General features: G+C 42.8%; 1 protein-coding gene across 1 annotated transcript in view, besides 3 other annotated features; it reads left to right on the top strand.

The window, feature by feature from the left end:
* The window catches only part of DNAJC1 (DnaJ heat shock protein family (Hsp40) member C1), a 247,183-nt gene extending 227,893 nt beyond the window's left edge, over positions 1-19,290 (top strand). Inside the window, exons 10-12 of the mRNA NM_022365.4 lie at positions 9,529-9,577; positions 16,220-16,668; positions 19,083-19,290. Of these exons, the coding sequence (NP_071760.2) occupies positions 9,529-9,577; positions 16,220-16,668; positions 19,083-19,151 (567 nt within the window). The 3' untranslated portion in view covers positions 19,152-19,290. The remainder of the gene's footprint in view (positions 1-9,528; positions 9,578-16,219; positions 16,669-19,082) is intronic.
* Positions 18,488-19,364: an enhancer, noted in NCBI's record as "H3K27ac-H3K4me1 hESC enhancer chr10:22045403-22046279 (GRCh37/hg19 assembly coordinates)". NCBI's record gives its function as "activates a minimal SCP1, AML or CMV promoter by ChIP-STARR-seq in naive H9 embryonic stem cells {active_cell/tissue: H9 hESC(naive)}" and the evidence as "EXISTENCE:reporter gene assay evidence [ECO:0000049][PMID:30033119]".
* Positions 20,613-21,272: an enhancer, noted in NCBI's record as "H3K27ac-H3K4me1 hESC enhancer chr10:22043495-22044154 (GRCh37/hg19 assembly coordinates)". NCBI's record gives its function as "activates a minimal SCP1, AML or CMV promoter by ChIP-STARR-seq in primed H9 embryonic stem cells {active_cell/tissue: H9 hESC(primed)}" and the evidence as "EXISTENCE:reporter gene assay evidence [ECO:0000049][PMID:30033119]".
* Positions 21,273-21,932: an enhancer, noted in NCBI's record as "H3K27ac-H3K4me1 hESC enhancer chr10:22042835-22043494 (GRCh37/hg19 assembly coordinates)". NCBI's record gives its function as "activates a minimal SCP1, AML or CMV promoter by ChIP-STARR-seq in primed H9 embryonic stem cells {active_cell/tissue: H9 hESC(primed)}" and the evidence as "EXISTENCE:reporter gene assay evidence [ECO:0000049][PMID:30033119]".

Raw genomic sequence — 22,199 nt, 5'->3', positions numbered from 1 at the left:
AAAGAAGAAGAGGGAGGCCTCATCTGTGTGAAACCTATATAGGAATAAATGTCTTCTCCCAAGACGAGGCTACAAAAAAGTCCTATATCTTCTGAAACTGCACATGATATAAAAATAGAATGACTAGCTGAAAAATGTATTATGTACTATTTGAGAAAATAAACACTAAACATTTTGAGAGTAAATTGGTACCCACTTTACTGAAAGTCATTCAGATCTAAAGGAGAGACATCAATCTGGTGATGACCGTGGTCATGGAAAGATGAATTTACTTCCCCAAAGTGACTTACTATCTTACTGAGTCACCCTAGGCATTGAGCTTTATATTAGACCACTACTTATTAGGAAACTTCTTTATCTACCTAGAATCATAAATGATCATTTGAGGATGCCAAACCTGCCCACAAACAAAAATATTTTGCCATCATCTGCCATGGATATGGCTCTTCCCAAGACAAAATCTAGTGAGAAGGGAAATTCTAAAAAAAAAAAAAAAAAAAAAAAAAGCCATTTGCAGTTAACGTTTTTATGAAACTGTCTTATGACAGCAGGAGATGTAGAGTTTGCATAGTAACTTGAATATTATCATTGGACCACACAGAATTGGAAAATCGACTGTGCTTTGCTGCTATCTAACGAACCTGTTGTAAGTTGTAAGTTGCCTTTTAAGTGAGAAAAAAAAAGGTATGGCTGCAAAATGACAATAGCGACATCACATCGTTTCCATTATTTGACAATAATGATCTGAAGGACTCAGATTATGTGTGATGGATAAGCTAAATTGTGATAGATGCTGTATTCAGAATCTACTACCAGCATAAGGCGACTCTTAACTATTCTCAAACTGAGTCCTTGACTCTGTAGAAACAGGAAGTTTGTTCTTGACAATGTATCAGGAAACCTTAAGTCAGTAAAGGCTATGTTCTAATACTAGAATATCAGTGCTAGGTGAATGATTCTCTAAGGTAATTCATCCCCATGTGCCATTGGAATTTGTTTACTGGGCAGGATTCTGATGTTAGGAATCTATTTGTCTGTAAGAAAATATATTAATATGTTTAGGCCGGGCGCGGTGGCTCATGCCTGTAATCCCAGCACTTTGGGAGACTGAGGCAGGCGGATCACGAGGTCAGGAGATCGAGACCATCCTGGCTAACATGGTGAAACCCTGTCTCTACTAAAAAATACAACAAAAATTAGCTGGGCATGGTGGTGGGCGCCTTTAGTCCCAGCTATTCAGGAAGCTGAGGCAGGAGAATGGCATGAACCCAGGAGGCGGAGCTTGTAGTGAGCCGAGATTGCGCCACTGCGCTCCAGTCTAGGTGACAGAGAGGAGAAAATATATTAATACGTTTAATATGTTAGTTTTTCATATAAGATGAAAAAACAATGTGTATGAAAGGCTGTAGCATGACTTTAAGATGTTAGAGAGTTATATGAATCTCAGGTTATGAGATTCTGAGGTCACGTGTATTTGTGACTTTGCCAGTTGACCTCAAATGAAAAGTTTATATGAATTCTTTGTGTGATCATATATGTCACAACTTATGGATCCAGGCAGGAAGCAGAGAAAAATTTAAATTCTACAAGATAAACCGTAAGCTTTTCTTAGAATTATACTACTGTGCTTGATTTATTATTTAGGTAAAATGCAATATATTCTGTATCTTTATACATCTTTTTTTTTTTTTTTTTTTGAGACGGAGTCTCGCTCTGTCGCCCAGGCTGGAGTGCAGTGGCGGGATCTCGGCTCACTGCAAGCTCCGCCTCCCGGGTTCACGCCATTCTCCTGCCTCAGCCTCCCAAGTAGCTGGGACTACAGGCGCCCGCCACTACGCCCGGCTAATTTTTTGTATTTTTAGTAGAGACGGGGTTTCACCGTTTTAGCCGGGATGGTCTCGATCTCCTGACCTCGTGATCCGCCCGCCTCGGCCTCCCAAAGTGCTGGGATTACAGGCGTGAGCCACCGCGCCCGGCCCTTTATACATCTTTATGTGTCCTCTAGTAATCTTTATAGCAAAAAAAAAAAAAAAATTAATAAAGAGGGACATTTATAAAAAGGCCATTTCAGGAAGATATAACAATTATAAATATGTGTGCTCCTGATAACAGAACACCAAAATACATAATGCAAAAACTGACAGAATTGAAGGAAGAGATGGACAGTTAAACAATAATGGTTGGAAATTTCAATACCTCCCTTTCACCTAACATATTTCTAAAACACGCCATCTAACAATAGAATATACGTTTTTCTTTACACATGGAACATTGTCCAGGATAGACTATATGCTAGGACATCAACAAACGTCAATAAGTTTAAAAGGATAGAAATAATACACAGTATGTTCTTTAATTCCAGTAGAATGAAATTAGAAATCAATATCAGGAAAAAAAAATCTGGGCAAATCAACAGATGTTTGGGAATTAACACACTCCTAAATAATCAGTGGATCATGGAAGAAATAATGAGGGAAATTGGAATATTATCAGAGATGAATGAAAATAAGACATGATGTACCAAGACTCAAGGAATGCAGCTAGCACACTTCTTAGAGGGAAATTTGTAGCTATAAATGCCTATGTAATAAAGAAGAAAGATCTCAAATCATTAACCTTTCCACCTTAAGACACTAGAAAGAGAACAAACTATACCTAAAGCACACAGAAAAAAGAAAATAACAAAAAGCAGGGCAGTGATATGGTTTGGATCTGTGTCTCCACCAATTCTATATTAAACTGTAATCCCCAGTGTCGGAGGTGGGTCCTTGTGGGAGGTGATTGGATCATGGGGTTGGATTTCCCCCTTTGGTGCTGTTCTCGGGACAGAGGTCTCACAAGATCTGGTTGTTTAAAAGTATGCACCATTTCCCCCTCGCTCTCTGTTCCTCCTGCTCTGGCATGTGAAGTGCTGCCTCCTAGTTTGCCTTCTGCCGTGATTGTAAGTTTCCTGAGGCTTCCCCAGAAGCCAAGCAGATGCTGCCACGCTTCCTGTACAGCTTGTGAAACCATGAGCCAATTCAGTATCTTTTCTTTATAAATTACCCAATCTCAGGCATTTCTTTATAGCCATGTGAGAGCGGACTATTACAAGCAGAAATGGAAGAAATAGAGAACAATAAAGAAATAGAGAAAATCAGTGAAACCAAAAGCTGATTCTTGGAAAATATCAAGAAAATTAACATGCATTTAAGTAAGTAATTAACCAAGAAAAAAAGAGAAAGGACTCAAATTTCTAGGGTCAAAAAAAAGGACATTACTGCCAATCTTATATAAATAAAAAGGATTATAAAGGAATACAATCGTGAATAAATGTATGTCAAGAAATTAGATGGCTATTTTTCTAATAGAAGTGAAATGAATAAATTCCTGGAAAGACACAAACTGCTAAAACTAAATCAGAAACAGACCATTTTAATAGATAGACTTATAATTAGTAAAAAGGTTGAATTAGTTATCAAAAACCTATACATAATGAAAAGTCCAAGTCCAGATAGTTTCACCACTGAATTCTACCAAACATTTAAAAAATTCCAGTGCTCTCAAAAAAAAAAAAAAAAAAAAAAGAAGAGGGGTGAATATTTCTCATCTCATTTTATGATGGCAGTATTACCTTGATGCAAAACCAAAGACATCACAAGAAAACTACAGACCAATGTTTTTATAAATATGGATGAAAAAAATCTCAAAAAATACCACCAAACTGAATTCGGCAACTTATAAAAAGAATTATCACCATGAAGCTGGGCATGGTGGTGTGCAACTGTAGTTGCAGCTCCTCAGGAGGCTAAGCAGGGGGAATCCCTTGAGTCCAGGAATTGAAGGATGCAGTGAGCTTTGATCACACCACTGTACTTCAGCCTGGGTGAAGATTTATCTAAAAACAAACAAACAAACAAAAAACATTTATTACCATGATCAAGTGGCATTTAACCATGGAACACAAGGTTGGTTAAACATCTCAAGATCAATTAATGTAAATACCTCATGTCAATAGAATAAAAAGCAGTATCACACGATCATCTCAAGAGAAGTGTTTGAGCCGGACTCAGTGGCTCCCACCTGTAATACCAACGCTTTGGGAGGCCAGGGCAGGCTGATCACCTGAGGTCAGCAGTTCAAGATCAGCCTGGCCAATGTGGTGAAACCCTATCTCTACTAAAAATACAAAATATAGCCAGGTGTGGTGGCACGCACCTGTAATCCCAGCTACTCGGGAGGCTGAGGCAGGAGAATCACTTGAACCCAGAGGCAGAGGTTGCAGTCAGCCGAGATCGTGCCATTGCACTGCAGCCTGGGCAACAGAGCGAGACTGCGTCTCAAAAAAAAAAAAGTGTTTGACAAAACCCAACACCCTTGCACTATAAAAACACTCAGCAGACTAGGAATAAAAAAGAAGTATCTCAACCAGATAAAAGACCATACTAAAAACCCACAACACCATGTTTACTGGTGAAAGAATGCTTTCCTGCTAAGATCAAGAACAAAACAAGGATGTCTGCTCTTGCTTCTTCTATTCAGCATTGTATTGAAGTCTTAGCCAGGGCATTTAGGCAAGAAAAAGAAATAAGATGGAAAAAAAGAAGTAAAATTATCTATTTGCAGATGGCATGATTTTATATATAGAAAATCTTGAGAAATGCACTAAAAAAAACATTGGAACTAATAAATGAGTTTAGCAAGGTTGCAGGATACATAGCAATATTACAAAAATCAGTTTTATTTTTTATACATTTACAATGAACAACTTGAAAATGAAATTAATGACATTCATAATTGCATCAAAAAGAATAAAATACTCAGGAATAAATTAAAAGAAGTGAAAAACTTTAACTTTGAAAACTATATAACATTGTTGAAAGAAATTAAAGTCTAATTTAATTTGGAACTCTTAAGTCTTCCTGACCTTAGATTTGGCAGAGGATTCTTAGATATGACACCAAAGGCACAAGCAACCAAAAGCTTCAAAATTAAAAAAAATAGATAAATTGGACCTCAGCAAAATTAAAAACTTTTGTGAGTCAAAGGACACCATCAAGAAAGTGAAAAAGCAACCCAAAGAATGGGAGAACTTATTTGCACATCTTATGTCTGATAAAAGTATATGTACCCAGAGCACATCAAGAATCTTACAACTCTGGCCAGGCATGGTGGCTTACGCCTGTACTCCCAGCACTTTGGGAGGCCGAGGCGGGCGGATCACCTCAGGTCAGGAGTTTGAGACCAGCCTGACCAACACGGTGAAACCCCATCTCTACTAAAAATACAAAAAATTAGCCGGGCATCTTGGCACATGCCTGTAGTCCCAGTTACTTGTGAGGCTGAGGTGGGAGAATCACTTGAACCTTGGAGGCGGAGGCTGCAGTGAGTCGAGATCGTGCCACTGCACTCCAGCCTGGGCGACAGAGCTAGACTCCATCTCAAAAAAAAAAAAAAAAAAAAGAAGAAAAAAATAATCTTACAACTCAATAATAAAAAGTTAAATGACCCACATAAGCAATGGATACAGGATATGAATAGATATTCCTCCAAGGAAGATACACAGATGTCCAATAAACACATGAAAAAATGCTCAGCATCAGTCATTAATTATTAACTATTAAGTTAGGGACCTGTTAGAAAGTGTTATATTAGTTTGGTCAAGTGAGAATGAAGGACTAGTGCAGGTGGTGGAGGTCTGAGAGAGAAGGGAACAAATGGAATTGAACTGTGAAGCAACTCGTTGGGGAAGGAGAGAAAAAATCCAAAAATGGACTCGTTAGATTTTGAGCCTAAGTGACTTGGATGATAAAACTATTAAGCAATGGAGGAAAAGCAGAGAAGTTGTTTTATTGGAAAAACTGATGAGTTTAGGCCGGGCGCAGTGGCTCACGCCTGTAATCCCAGCACTTTGGGAGGCCGAGGTGGGTGGATCACCTGAGGCTGGGAGTTCAAGACCAGCCTGACCAACATGGAGAAACCCCATCTCTACTAAAAATACAAAATTAGCCTGGCGTGGTGGCTCATGCCTGTAATCCCAGCTACTCAGGAGGCTGAGGCAGGAGAATTGCTTGAACCTGGGAGGCAGAGGTTGTAGTGAGCTGGAATCGCTCCATTGCACTCCAGCCTGGACAACAAGAACAGAAACTCTGTCTCAAAAGAAAAGAAAAGAAAAGAAAAACTGATGAGTTTAGTTTTTGGTTTGGTTAGTTTTAGGAACTAGGAGACCTCTGAGAGATTTAATGGCAGTTAGAAAGTGAAGCCATGTAGTACAGCAGAAAGAGCACTTGGCTTGTTTCTTCTTCTATAAAATGAAAGATTTGGATTTAAAAGGTGGTTATGTTATAGTGATAGAGAGCAAAAATTTTAGATCCCTGCTTGTTTTAGCTTCTCACTAACTGTTTAACTTGGATATATTATTTATTCTCCCTGGGCCTCAGATTCTGTAAAATCAGGATAACCATTCTATGCCTACCTCATATTGCTACTGTGAGGAATATGTGCACACACACAATTTATTTAGAACAGTGCCTATTGCATAGTAAGCTTAATGTTACGTAGGTGAAGTCCTTTTCAGATCTGAGGATCCATTGTTGCGTGGTCAGTTTCTATGAGACTGGCATTCCAAGGTAGAAGTCAGGGCCAGAGACCTAGGTTAATCATTTCTTTTCTAAAGTATTATCGAATAGCTGGGATGAGATACCAGAGTAGAAAGTGGAAAGAACATGAATGGCAAGGGTAGAATGTTGAGGAACACTTCTATTAGGGAACAAGAGGCAGGAGTATATAGGAGAGGCCAGTGGAGGAACATTCAGAGAAAGAAGGAAAACTAGGACATATTCTCATGAATGCCAAGTGGAATAGAAAAGATAAGGTCAAGGGAAGATTTAGAGTAGACTACTTGAGCTAAGTTTGAAGATTTATGGGATGCATCTCATGGACAGGGGAAGTTGAAGATGAAAGCAAGTAATTGATGGAGCATAGTTCTGTGAGGATTCAAGGGGCAGATTTAGCCTCAAGGGGAAGGAATGCATTTATTTCTTTGAATTAGGATAAAAGAAGGAATGGATATATGGTGGGGCAATCAAATTTTTGAGCTGGGAAATTCAGAAGTCAAGGAAGCTCATGTTGGATAACTTCAGTTTGTTTACATTAAATAGGAAGCAAGGTCATCTGTAGAGAGAGTGGAAGGTAGGGAACAAAATTGAAAAGTGTTTCCAAGCAGCTTTAAATGTTCTAATTCTGCTCTTTGTATGAATGGAAAACAAATGATCTATTTCAATTATAACAGGTAATATTTACTGAGCCTTTACTGTCTGCCAGGTATCATGCTAAGGGTTTGTTTCAAACTGAAAACATCCGTAAGAGGCAAATGGTAGTGGTATCCACACATTACAGAGGGTAATATATGAAACAGAGAAGGATGGAAAATTGCTGTCTGTTACCCAGCTGAGAGGTGGAACCAAGACTGAAGAGCAGATCTGCCTGACTCTCGGCTCTTAATGATCATGCTTTCTGACATTTTACTTTCAAATTTCATTAAAGCCATGAAGTGTTGGTTCGAGAATATACATGGATTAATGGGATAGAGAAATATAGAAAAATATAATAGCACATGTTTACAGCCAAACATAACTTTAATGAAATTCATATTTTAAATAAATGGAAAGGATGGCTTGTTAGATAAGTGCATTAGGGCAATTAACTATTCATTTGAAAAAAATTAATAACTTTAACCCCATATTTCTTAAAAATATACAATAGAAGTCTGAACAGTGGTTGTCTGTGGCAGGATAGAGATTGCATGAAGGGCACAAGGGAACTTTCTGGAGTAATAGGAATGTTCTGTAATTTTTTTTTTTTTAAGATGGAGTCTGGCTCTGTTGCCCAGGCTGGAGTGCAGTGACGTAATCTCAGCTCACTGCAACCTCTACCTCCTGGGTTCAAGCAGTTCTGCTGCCTCAGCCTCCCAAATAGCTGGGATTACAGGCGTGTGCCACCGTGCCTGGATAATTTTTGTATTTTTAGTAGAGACAGGTTTTGCTATATTGACCAGGCTGGTCTCGAACTCCTGACCTCAAGTGATCTGGCTGCCTCGGCCTCCCAGAGTGCTGGGATTACAGGCATGAGCGACTGTGCCTGGTCAATATTCTGTAATTTGATTGTGATGTTGGTTACATAGGCAGAGATTTTTGGTCAAAACTCATCAAATTGCACATTTAAAGTCTGCACATTACACTCTGTAAATTTTATCTCAATTTTAAAAAAGAAAGCCAAGTGCAGTGGCTCATGCCTGTAGTCCCAGCTACTCAGGAGGCTGAGGTGGGAGGATCATTTGAGCCTAGGAGTTACAGGCCATTCTGGGCCACATAGCAAGACTGCAACATAGCAACATATCTTTAAAAACAAACAAACAAACAAAATAAGTTGACAGAGAAAGAGAAGATAAAAGAAAAATAAGGCAATTCTGTATGTAGATCTCAAAGACATTGTTAAATGAAGAAAGAGCAAGCTATAGAATAAGACGTGAAATATGATACCATTTATATAAAGAAAAAAAATTACCACCAGACCAAATTCTTTCTGTGGATCCACACTCATATGTGTAAAGGTATCATGGTTCTTGGGTGCAGCTGCCCCACTCCATCAACAGATTCTTCCTCCAATGTCAATCTCAGATGCTCTTAGGGTTCCCTTCCAGGTTGCAGAAAGGAAGGACTTTTATCTTATAACACTATTAGCATAAATGTCATTTTCCCCACTGATTGCAATACTCAGTGGTAGAATATTCTCCAGTGAAGAAAGATATTCCATTTCTGGAAATTCTAGGTTTAAAAAATGACCTGTTTGCATAATGAAAGTAGTATCTTTTTTTTTTTTTTTTTTTTTTAGGCAGGGTCTCACTCCGATGCCCAGGCTGGAGTGCAGTGGTGCAATGTCAGCTTACTGCAACCTCCGCCTCCTGGGTTCAAGCGATTCTCCTGCCTCAGCCTCCCGAGTAGCTGGGATTACAGGCAACCACCGCCTTGCCCAGCTACTTTTTGTATTTTCATAGAAACGGGGTTTCCCCATGTTGGACAGGCTGGTCTTGAACTCCTGACCTCAAGTGATCCACCCACCTTGGCCTCCCAAAGTGCTAGGATTGCAGGCATGAGCCACCATGCCCGGCCTTGAAAGTAGTATCTTTTAAGAGGCAGCCCCCGTTGTGCATATGTACCCTAGAACTTAAAGTATTAAAAAAAAATAAAAATGAAAAGAGGCAGCCTCGTATAACGGAACTGTCATTGAACTAGAAGGAGTCTAGGGATGTGAGTTCTTGTCCTGAAGCTGCTGCTGAGTGGATGGGTGTTTTGGAGCTATCCATTTAATCTCTCTGGGCTTCAGTTTTCTTGTTAATTACATTAATGGATGCGACAGACGACTGAGGGTCTTTCAGGCCTAAGATCCAATGAACTGTGTTCATTCACATGGAGCTTACATGGAATCGTTTCACTCAGCATATAGTAGGTACATGGAAAGTAAGATTTTTGCTTTTATGTTTTGAAACAGGTGACAACCAAAGCCAAGCAACTGAAGGATTCAGTGACCTGCTCCCCAGGTGAGTTCATACTTCCTCTATCTCATTAATCTAAAGTGGTTTCTTCTAAATTAATCCCTTTTTATAATAACTTCTTTAAATACAAGGGTCTAGAAGTTTTGCCTAATGAACTCTAAATCTGGTCATATCTCCAAAAAGGGTTGAAATACGGGCACCAGCAAGCCAGTCCAGCCCTGCACATACTGGTGCCGAGAAGATGTATTTAATTAATAAGGTTAAATAAGTATACAGATCGTCTTCTATAGTTTAATTTGTGGGGACGGGGAACACAGGAGAAAGCCCATCTGCACACCACGCAAATGCTATGTGCACACTGTTTCCCTGCACTGTCCACCCCTGTCACTGCCGCACTTGCAGAGCTGCCCTTTGGGATAAATGGCTAACAGCTTTCCCAGGCATTTATGTTTCCTTTTTTTTGAGACGGAGTCTTGCTCTGTTGCCCAGGCTAGCGTGCAGTGGCGCAATCTCGGCTCACTGCAACCTCTGCCTCCCAGGTTCAAGTGATTCTCCTGCCTCAGCCCCCGAGTAGCTGGGATTACGGGCGCCCGCCACTGCACCTGACAGATTTTTGTATTTTTAGTAGAGACCTGGTTTCACCATCTTGGCTAGGCTGGTCTTGAACTCCTGACCTCTTGATCCTCTCACCTCGGCCTCCCAAATTGCTGGGATTACAGGCGTGAGCCACCGTGCTCAGCCCCATTTATGTTTCTTAAAATCAATTTCCTCCAAGATTAACTGGAATTTTGTTAGAGTCTCCATATTCTTTGCTTAGAACCAGGAAATAAGAACATGCTTCAGAAACTTTGCAACCTAACTCAAATACAGGTCCCAGGGAGAGTAATGCAGATGAACAAGCCAACAATTAGCAAACCCAGAGATCTCAAAAAGCCACCCCAGCCGGGCGTGGTGGCACAGCTATAGTTTCAACTACTCTAGAGGCCGAGGCGGGAGGATCACTTGAGCCCAGGAGTTCAAAACCAGCCTGGGCAACATAGTGAGACCCCCCATTTCTGAAAAATAAACGTAAAAAAAAATTTTTTTAAAAGAATTCAACTTGGAGTTCTCCAGGCTTTAGCAAGAGGAAATTTCTGGATTTCTTTTTCTGCCAATGAAGTTATTTCTGTGGGCATGGAGGCAGAGACGGGGCAATGGGATGTTATATGACAGAAGCCTACTTCAAGACATTCTCCAAAATCATACCATTGAAAAGGCAGCGCAGCTCAGAGTAAGGAACTGACGTAGATCTTCCTGGAGCTTGGTGGAGGGGGGTCAGAAGTATGAAGAAAACAGGAAATGTGGAGTTGAATATTTAAGTGCATCTCTGAGGCAACACCTGTGGCTGAGAGAAGGCACCAGAAGCAGCTTTGAGCAGAGAGCAGATCCAGCATCAGGACAGAGAGGAAAAGAGGCAAATCCGATGTGATATTTGGCCACATCCAAACATCCTGTGACTCTCTAAAAGCACCATAAGGTCTTTGTCACAAATATATTCATTAAATTATGTGTTTTATTTTGTTTTTTAATAGCCTTTAAGAAGCCAAAGAATTTTGAAATAAAAGTATTTCTTCTGATTATGTTCACAAATTAACAAAGAATCCGTAAGCAGTGTGATCCATTTAAGCCATAAAGCTGTGCTTCTGAAGTATTATTAGAAATTCTAAAATTGTTTCCTAAGATTTTGGATACCTTTCAAAGTGTTTGAAATGGATGGTTTAGAAAACACAGCTGGCTTAATAGGCTAGCACAGGGGAAAATGACCTTCTACAGATAAGAACACACCCAGATGGAGGTATTTGGCTGTTTCTTAAGAGAGTTGCTTTAGTGAGCATGGAAAGAAATGTTCGCTAATAGAAACTCAAAAAAATACAGATAAACAAAAGGAAGAAAATAACAATCACATGTAACCTACCAATTGTTGTTATTTTGAGAGAGATATTTCTTCAGACTTTTCTGATGCACATATGTGCATATAATATTTTTACAAGAATGGGACTGTACCGCAATACTGTTTTACATTTTTTCACTCCGTACACTCATATGTCTGTATCATCTTCTTAATGGCTCCATAGTAGTCCATAGTATAGATGTCTGCCCCATAGTTTATTTAACAAGTTTCTATTGTTGGACATTTTGTTTGTTTCCATTTTTTTTTTATTGTTCTGAAGTTGTGGTCTCCAAAGTGAGGTAGACAGGATGATTCTTTGGAATATAAGAAGACCGTATTTGAATTTCTGTTGATCTTTGTTTTTATCTTAAGGCAGTGAGAGAGGAATTAAACTTTCTCATCTTTGATATTCCGACTTATGCCAGCACCCTCACTGTGCCCATTAGCAGAGCTTATGTGTTACGTACATAGGGCACCAACGTTTCCCAAGGGAAAAATGGGATTTCCACAGCACTCACAGGCTGATGGTGGCCTCGTCACTTGGCATCATCCCATGTTCTTTCACTCTCAAGATATTGCAACAAGATACCCAGTTGAGTGAATGTATAGATAACCCCAGAGTTTCAGTGACATCTTTTTATAAGGTGGAAGGCAACCATGGGAATATTTCCTATTACACAGAGGCTTCCTAGTATTTTGACAAAGTACTTTTAAAAGTTTTTGAATTTAAAGATCCTCAATTTTATACTTTTCTTTTACCAAATAAATAAATAAATTCTTGGCGTAGGGTCTAAAAAAAAAAAAAAAAAACAACCTGCACACACTTAAAAAATTAAAACAGTACAAAAGGGAATGCAATGAAAAGTGTCTGAGTCTGGGTTCCTGGCCCCCTTCCACAGAGGGAATAATGAATTGGAGTGTGAGGGCGTACACGTCTAGAAGTATAACTAGTCTTGCACAGACTGTCTGTATTTGCCTCCCTCTTTCTTATGTTAATAGCAGCATACTCGCTGAAGACTAATATCTTTAATCATTTTATTATATTAAAATGTTTTTACAAAATAAAGATGGATTTTTAACAATGAATGTGAAAGTGTTTTGAAAGATATTTATGCTGTAGAAAGGACGTTTGAAAGTAGATGCTTGGCTGGGCACGGTGCCTCACGCCTGTAATCCTGACACTTTGGGAGGCCAAGATGGGCGGATCACCTGAGGTCAGGAGTTCGAGACCAGCCTGGCCAACATAGTGAAACCCGGTCTCTACTAAAACTACAAAAATTAGTTGGGTGTTGTGGCCCATGCCTGTGGTCTCAGCTACTCGGGAAGCTGAGGCAGGAGAATCACTTGAACCCGGGAGGCAGAGGTTGCAGTGAGCCGAGATCATGCCACTGAACTTCCAGCCTGGGCAACAGAGCGAGACTGGCTCAAAAAACAAAAAAAACAAAGTCGATGTTTGAAAGTATTTTCTTTGTTATGTGTTATTCTATGGCCAAAACAATGTGACCTATAAAAACTCTTATTTTTACGGATTTAAAAATGTTGAAAATAGAATTTTAACCTGTAAATCTTTCAAACAAAGTGAACTCATTTGTTAAAAATACAGCCAGGCGTGATGGTGTAGGCCTGTAGTCCCAGCTGCCCAGGAGGCTGAGGTGGGAGGATCACTTGAGCCCAGAAGTTGGAGGCTGCAGTGAGCTATGATCACACCACTGCACTCCAGCCTGGGTGACAGAGCAAGAGCCCCATCTCAGATAAATAAGTAACACTTTCTATTTAGTTTGCAAGAACAAATGATTGGCTTGGGGAAGATTTTTATGAAAATGTTTTCATAATTTGTATTGCACAATGAATACCAGAGCATGGTAAACTTGGCCAGCAGGACGCTACATGTGGATAGATGTATCCTTTTGGGTCATCTTTTCCAACTAGGATGGCCATTCAAAGTTAGGTGCCAAAATAAAGCAAATTTGGAGCCAGACCTTTAATTGAGTATTTTATCCAGTATTAAGCAATTTTTCAATCTCATTGTTTTTAATATTAATATTTTCATTAGAATGTTTCATGTCACTTAATGATGTTTTTAGATTGTGGTGGATATAATTGAATAAGTAAATATACATATATTAGAATTGCATTTTCGGCTGGGCGTGGTGGCTCATGCCTGTAATCCCAACACTTTGGGAGGCTGAGGCACTCAGATCACGAGGTCAAGAGATTGAGACCATCCTGGCCAACATGGTGAAACCTCGTCTGTTCTATAAATACAAAAATTAGCTGGGCATGGTGGCGCGTGCCTGTAGTCCCAGCTCCTCGAGAGGCTGACGCCTGTAGTCCCAGCTACTCGAGAGGCTGAGGCAGGAGAATCACTTGAACCCAGGAGGCAGAGGTTGCAGGGAGGCAAAATCGCGCCCCTTCACTCCAGCCTGGTGAAAGAGTGAGACTCCATCTCAAAAAATAAAAATAAAAAAAAATTGTGTTTTCAAAGATGTTTTATTGATGGGGTTCATAATAAAAAATATGGAGGAGATAATGATTATGAAATGCCACTTGTTAGTAGTAACAAAAGACTAGGACCTGGAACTTTAGTGAGCTAATACAGAATAACCTCCAGGGAGTTTGTTGCCATTAACGTAAGAAAGGAGAAGGCTAATGCAGCTACATAGGGTGTGTGACACTGTTTCTAGACGTTCACACACTCACACTCCAACTCATTTTTGCCTCTTACAGAGCAGACCAGGAATGCAGACTAAGCCACTTTTCATTGTATTCCTTTTTGTAGTTTTTATATTTTTAAAAATTATATCTAGATTTTTTTTTTTTTTTTTTAGACGGAGTCTCACTCTGTCGCCCAGGCTGTGGTACGATCTCAGTACACTGCAACCTCTGCCTCCCAGGTTCAAGCGATTCTCCTGCCTCGGCCTCCTGAGTAGCTGGAATTACAGGCACGTGCCACCACACCCGGCTAATTTTTGCATTTTTGTAGAGACAGGGTTTCACCATGTTGGCCAGGCTGGTCTCGAACTCCTGACCTCAGGGGATCCCCCCTGCCTTGGCCTCCCAAAGTGTTGGGATTACAGGCGTGAGCCACCGTGTACAGCTGGGATTTTGTTTTTTATTAAATAAAAGCCTACTATAAAGAGGAAACATTACTGTAGAAAAGGAAATAAAATATTGCCCCCTTTTTTGTTGTTGTTTTGAGACAGAGCAAGACTTTGTTTCCCAGGCTGGAGTGCAGTGGCACAGTCTTGGCTCACTGCAGCCTCTGCCTCCTGGGTTCAAGCGATTTTCATGCCTCAGCCACCCAAGTAGTTGGGATGACAGGCATGCGCCACCATGCCCAGCTAATTTTTTGTATTTTTAGTAGAGACGGGGTTTTGCCATGTTGCCCAAGCTGGTCTGGAACTCCTGGCCTCAAGTGATCCACCTTGCCTTGGCCTCCCAAAGTCCTGGAATTACACGCTTGAGCCACACTGCACCTGGCCTAAAATACTGCCTCTTTGTAGCTAAATTTGTATATACATCTGTAATTATTTCCATAGGAGAACCTCCTCTAAGTAAAATTACAGAGTCACAAGTAAATACATTCTTAAGGTTCACCTCCATTTGACAAATTGTTCTTTAAAAAGGCTAGACCTGTGCTGTCTAATATGGTAGCCACTTGCCACATGTAGCTATTTATATTAAAGTTTAAATTAATTAGAATTAAATAAAGTTAAAAACTTAATTCCTCAGTACTACACCAAGTGGTTTATATAATTGTATCACAGCATGTTTCATTGGACAGCTCTGGGCTGGGCCAGTTTCTGCTCCCACGCCCCGTGTCCAAATGTACCTATTTCCCTGCATTTTGCCAGCACTGGGTATTGTCATACTTTCTAATCTTTGCCAATTTAATAATTGAAAAGTAGTGATTCTTTGTTTTAGTTCTCTGATACTCATCAGCTACTGTAGTTCTTCCTTTGTGAGCTGTGTTCTTTGTCCTTTTATCTTAATGAGTTGTAACTGCTACTGTATTGAGGATATCAGTGCTCTGTCATCTATTCTGTCCTATTAAAAGGTTTAAAGCTTTTGTTATTAATTATTATTACTTTTAGAGACAAGATCTCATTCTGTTGCCCGGGCTGAAGCACAGTGGCGTGATCATAGCTGACTGCAGCCTCAAACTCCTGGGCTCAAGCAGTCCTCCCTCCTTAGCCTCCCTAGTAGCTAGGAATACAGGTGTATACCACCAGGCCCAGCTAATAAACTTTTTAATAAAATGTTTCTTTTCCATGTTTAAAAATTCTTACTGTAGCTACTATTTGTAAGTGTATAATTTACTCATACACTTGCCTTCCAGAGGCAGCACAGTTTTAAGGTTTGACCAGTTGATTTTTGTCTTTCCAGTGGAGCCAGTGAATCCTTTCTTATACTGAGTAGCAGGTTATTCCCTCTCAAAGAGATGTTTGCATTCTTGTTCACAATCTGATTCTTTATATACCCATTATTCCTCAGAGTAGAGAAAGGGACAAAGGCTTGGAATCAGACAGAAGTGGGTTCAAATCCCACTCTAGTGCTTTCTGAGTCTTCTTTTTCTCATCTGTAACATTAGGGTAATGATCCCTATCTTTCTAGAATAGAGTAGTGTGGAAATGAAATTAAACCATGCATGCAAAATGCCTAGTGCGCTGCCTGCTCTGTGCCCGGCAGCTGCTGTTCTCACCGTCTCCTTAATTCACCTTGCCCTTCACCTCTGTGTGGCACACCCTCTTTCCTAGGAATGGTTAGACTCTCCGAACTCAAATCGACAGTTCAGAATTCCAGGCCCATCAAAACGGCCACCACCTTGCCCGATGACATGATCACCCAGCGAGAGGACGCAGAGGGGGTGGCAGCGGAGGAGGAGCAGGAGGGAGACTCCGGTGAGCAGGAGACCGGGGCCACTGATGCCCGGCCTCGGAGGCGGAAGCCAGCCAGGCTGCTGGAGGCTACAGCGAAGCCGGAGCCAGAGGAGAAGTCCAGAGCCAAGCGGCAGAAGGACTTTGACATAGCAGAACAAAACGAGTCCAGCGACGAGGAGAGCCTGAGAAAAGAGAGAGCTCGGTCTGCAGAGGAGCCGTGGACTCAAAATCAACAGAAACTTCTGGAACTGGCGTTGCAGCAGTACCCAAGGGGATCCTCTGACCGCTGGGACAAAATAGCCAGATGTGTCCCGTCCAAGAGCAAGGTGAGTGATGGGGAAAGAGGCCTCTGCACAGGTGTTAGAATCCCACCAGAGGAGCCACAGCTTGTCTGCCTGCAGCTTCTTCCCTCATTCCTATCTACTGACACCTGCCCCGTGATTTCTTCTTTCCCATTTATCTTCCAGTATATTTCTCCCTAGAGCGTGTGAATCTGTGCATTCAGGTGGTTCATGTGTGTAGATGAGCTCAAGATTCTAAGTTTCATCATCCCACAGGGCAGCTGCTTATAGAAACTTCACCCACAGCACCTGCCTGCCTTTTTGAGAACTCGCCCACTCCGGCTAGGTTTTAAGGGCACATGGGAGGCTCAGCCGGCGCTGCCTCACCGTGAAATGCAGCAGCTGGGAAGGGTCAGGATGGAAAGCTCCTTTGAACCAGGCTGAGGGTTCATAAATCACAAGGCCCATTGGCTGTGTAGCAAATCTTTGACCAAAGGGATAGCTGGTATAGATGGTATTACCGTGATCATCTTCGATTCTGCCATGTGAATAACTTTGGACTCAGCAGGTACACCTGGTGGCTGTCCAGAGGCCCTGAGGCCATCTCCGTATGTGGTCAGTGCCAGGCGACAGCTAGGGTTCGGCTTACTTTCCACGGCCGTGGCCGTTTGTAGTTGGCCTTTCTCCCTGCTGGTAGCTCTTGGTGCCTGCTCAGATATTTCTGAGATGGTCCTCAGATGGGAGGAGGGGGCGGGAGTGCCCTGTGGAGAGCCCACCCACCGGGCTTGGGCGGCCTCTTTCCTGTGATCTGGCCATGAGGCGCTGCAGAGAGCCCCAGGGTGTGATCCTAACACAGTGTCTCTTGAGGCTTCTTTCCCTGTAGCTAGATTGTTAGTCGAGGAACCAGGAACAGTGAGAATCAAAAGCCCCGATCTCTTCCGCTGTCTGTGCCTCCCTCAGTCGCCTCTGGGCACACTCATGCTCATTTACATTCTTATTTTTTTTAATTGAAATTCTATGTTGGAAAATCCAGCTCATGGCCATGCATGTCCCTGAGTGTACAGGTGTAGTTTTCTCCACCTACTTTAAAATGATTAAAGTTGAGAGTTCCTGGGGAGAAAAATAAACGGTTAGCTGTTGATATATTTGAGAAGCGCAGATTCTCCCAGCCTCTCCGACTGGTTTGCAGAAGTAACTATTCTACCCGAATTTCTCTAGCATCTGTCAGGACACAGGCAGACGTCTTCATGTGTGATGAGTCCACACTGGCTTATAAACGAAGGGGCTGGAGCTTGGATTCCTAAGGATAGAACACCCAGAAACTCATACCTGGGGGGCTGGAAACCTTCCGGTTTTCAACCAGCAATGAGCAGGGCTTCTTCAGCCTGCGGGTGTTCCCCTCAAGCCTTGACTTGAGAGCGAGGCAGGGCTGAGCTTCCTGCTGTCCCGGAGCCTGGGCCTGGCTGCCGTGCACGGCTCAGCTCAGAGCTCCGAGCACACTGTCCTTCTGGGGTTAAGTGCTGGGTCTGGCCACATCTGGTTTTGGCAGTATGTTGTTAGGGACAGCATAGCTACTAAGGAAAGACTGATATCTTTAAAGACCTTAGGCAAGTAATCTTTGGGGATGCAGAAAAAAAACCCTGAGAAGAGACTCTCATAACACCACTAAGCTAAAATCCTAGGAGAGTAAACATCCTTTCTCTGTCCCAGGCAGCTGATAAAGTCACTTTGCACTGGACCCTTAGTCAGCAAAAGCTACAGAACCACAGGGTCATTATTTTTGGAACAGAAACAGAATAGATTCTGGAAAGTTCCTGTGATCAATGTGAGAATAATGAGGCCTCTCCCCACCATCACCCCACCTCTGCTTTGGTCCTGAGCTCCAGCCCAGGGTGTGACAGCTGTGGCCAGCTGAGGTCTGAAGTGGGCGGCTCTGCAGCCTGTAGGGTGGGATGGAGGTGGGGCCAGGAGGAGCAGGAATGAGTATTCCAGCACAAGTTCTGCCAGTGTCCTGGGGGCTGGCTCCCCACGGGAAAGGTCTTAGCAGCGCCTAGGGAAAGCCAGACCCACGGAAGAAGACTAATAGGCTACCTGGCCCCAGGGTTTTTGATTTCTTTAAAGTAGCATGTTGTGATAAAAGAGTGAAGTGTTAACATGAAAATAAGAGTTAGCAGGCTGAAAGACCCGATTATGATGCTAGTACGCCTCACAAACGGCCGCCCCAGCCCCTCACTCCACGCCAAGCACCTTCCCTTTGGGCTGGGCTTGCAGGAGCCCTTCTCGCACTGCCCAGACCGGTCTGCCTTGTGAGCGACTGGACTCCAGGACATCCCGGGAACTCTGGGCAGAGGGACTGGACGTGAGGCTCTTCATGAGCAGAAGCCAGCAGACCGGCCACATGATGACCACACTGACTTGTGCAAGTGACTGTTCTCACCTCTCTTTTTTTCTTCCTACAGGAAGACTGTATCGCTAGGTACAAGTTGCTGGTTGAACTGGTCCAAAAGAAAAAACAAGCTAAAAGCTGAATATTCTGGGAGATGATGTTCACCTTCATTTTCCAAAATGAATATCTTAAAAATCTTATGCAGAAATTTGCATTTTGTACCTCAATATTTCTACGTCATGTGCCTTAGTAAAAAAAAATAATAAATAAATAAAAGATGAGTGTTGTGCTATACTGTTTAAACAAATACTGTGCTGGGGGAAAAAGGATTTGGGTATGTTGCAGATTATTTTATTTCTCATCACTTCAAAGTGTACTTTCTTAGGGAATAAACAAATAGTGCTTTCTAATGATCAGGCAAAAATATGTGGTTTTGAAGGAACATGTGAACAAACTAATGTGTAAGAATTCAAATTTAATGTTTCTCTAAAACCACGACCAAAGAACACAGCAGTTCGTGTCTTTATTGGGGGTTGAATAGCAAGATCAATTGCTTGGGGAGGAAGAAAACCAGGTTGGTATCCAGCTGGCTGGCTAAGAACAATGTGAGATTATCTTAATTAGTTAAATATATCTAGGGAAAAAAAACAGTCTAGGTGAAGGAGGACATAAGGTAATACACTCTAAGTTTGAGCTGCTTGATAGAAATGTGTTCCCACCTGATAGAATTTCCAGAGAACATGCAGGACCGTTTTCAGGAAATGATGAAATTGGGACCGTTTTTTCATACCTAAGTTAAAAATCACTATTTTATACTATTACTTTCTGTCGAAGTCTTTCATGCTATGTTTGAACTGTCACTGTCAGCTGAGCGCTCCTTTTAAATCTTCTGTCATTTGCTCAGGGCGTGGAAATAGTGTGATGAACACAGCTTGCCTAAACTTGAAAATCATGAAGATAACCAGAACACAGTTAAGGGACGTGATTTGATAAAATATCTTAAAGACGTCATATTCCCTAAGGAGTAAAGTGAGGGTACAGTTTCCTGGAGGAAAGTTTGGGTGGCAGAGATCCCCACTCTGCAGTGCAAGCTTCTTTCTATACAGAGGACGTGGAACCAGGTAAGTCCCCAGCCCTTTCCCTGACAGGAGGTGACAGAGGCTGCCTCAGGTCTCAGGCCGAGCAGACGTAGGGAACTTACACCTCATACCCAACTCCCTCATCCCAAAAAGAGCAGCGGAAAAGTGAAAAAACAGCACATTGCAAGCCCTCTTCCAAAATTTTTGAGACAAGTTTCAGATTTCGCATATTTTTTTTCTGATTTTGGAATATTTACATATACATAATAAGTTGGCTCAGGGATGGGACCCAAATCTAAACACCACGTTCTTTGTTGTTTGTTTGTTTGTTTTTGGAGACAGAGTCTCGCTCTGTCATCCAGGCTGGAGTGCAGTGGTACGATCTCGGTAGACTGCAACCTCCGCCTCCCAGGTTCAAGCGATTCTCCTGCCTCGGTCTCCTGAGTAGCTGGAATTACAGGCACGTGCCACCACACCCAGCTAATTTTTGTATTTTTAGTAGAGATGGGGTTTTGTCATGTTACCCAGGCTGGTCTCGAACTCCTGATCTCAAGTGATCCTCCCGCCTTGGCCTCCCAAAGTGCTGGGATTACAGACGTCCATTATGTTTGACATATACTGTATGCACACAACCTGAAGGTAATTTTATGCAATATTTTTAATAATTTTGTGCAAGAAACAAAGTTTATTTGCTGAACCATTGGAAAGCAGAGGCGTCAGGTGTGAAATTTTCCACTGGTGGCGTCACGTTGGCACTCCAAAAATTTGGATCTTGAGAGCATTTCGGATCTTGGATTTGGGGTTAGGGATGCTCAGCCTGTACCAGCCACCGTCTCCACGGTCTGGTTTGCACAGAACTGCCTGAGTCAGGGAGCAGCAGCTTCCATCAGCCTCAGCCAGCAGGGACAGGGAAGTGGTGCCTGTCTGGCCAGGTGGGGACAGGGGACAGGCACAGTCATCTGGCTCCAGTGGTGCTCACTGTCTTCCTGTAACAACCCAAAGCCAGGCTAGTCACGGGAATCCGAGTCTTCCCCAGAACTCTGTCCTCCAGCTGGGGGGCCATGAGGTGACTGCTGTGCAGTCACAGTGGCTACATGTGAGTGACACATCTGAGAAGGAAGCCGGTTCCTGGAGAGGGACAGGGAGAGGGGAGGATCGTCCTGGCCATATGCCAGGCTGGGGGCCCCTCTGGTCTCTGAGCCCAGCCTCAGGCCTGTTACACAACACAGGACACTCTGTGAGCGTTCTGCCATTAAGTCATCCTTTTCACTTACAGCACCCTGAATTGGGTTCCTCTCACACACACCCCAGAGCCCAGTTATAAGTTTCCTGGGCTTTCTGCGGGAGAGGCCCGTGGGGGGTCCAGAGGTGCTTTAGGAAATTGAGTTGCTGGAACCCCTCAACTCACCCTGTCCTCATCTTCTCCAGCTGCCTTGAGAGAGTGAGGTGCTAGTGTGGTTTTCTGCTGCCTGTCTCTGCCTGCCAGGAAAGGCCTGCTGCCCATGGTATCCCCTCGGGGGGCTCTGGAGGCCAAGGAGTCAGTTGAAGTAGGATGGGGTGGGGGGTTTTGCGGGGGAGGCCAGGGTCAGAGGCTGGGCAGGACTCGTGTGGGCTCCCAGCTCTCAGAGCACAGCTCTGTACACAGACAGATGACAGCTGCCACCCCGGGTCACAGCAGGAGAGCGAGGATCCTCGAGAGGGAATGTGCTGAATGCATGTGGGGACGTGGCACATCCACCAGCCACGTGACAGCCCCACCGTGCCCCTTCTCCTCTCCCACTCCCAGACCCGTGTCCTCCCAAGCCACCTCACCCTGCCCACTGAGGAGGCCTCCCCATGCCGTGCCCAGCCGCCACAGGTAGCCCGTGCTTGCTTTTCTGTTCTTGCCGTCTTGCTCATGAGAACCAACCCAACCACTTTCTCCCTTTCCTCTTCAGTTTACGCTTTTTTTGTTTTTTTTTTTTTAAGAGACAGTCTCGCTTGGTTGCCCAGGCTGGAGAGCAGTGGCACAATCATGTCTCACTGCAGCCTCAAACTAACAGGCTCAAGCAATCCGCCTGCCTCAGCCCCCCAAGCAGCTGGGACCACAGGCGTGCACCACCAACACCTGG

Source organism: Homo sapiens, chromosome 10 (assembly GCF_000001405.40).
Source record: "Homo sapiens chromosome 10, GRCh38.p14 Primary Assembly".
Lineage (NCBI taxonomy): Eukaryota > Metazoa > Chordata > Mammalia > Primates > Hominidae > Homo > Homo sapiens.
Note: the sequence above shows the minus strand (reverse complement) of the source record. Positions and strands in the feature narration are given on the sequence as shown.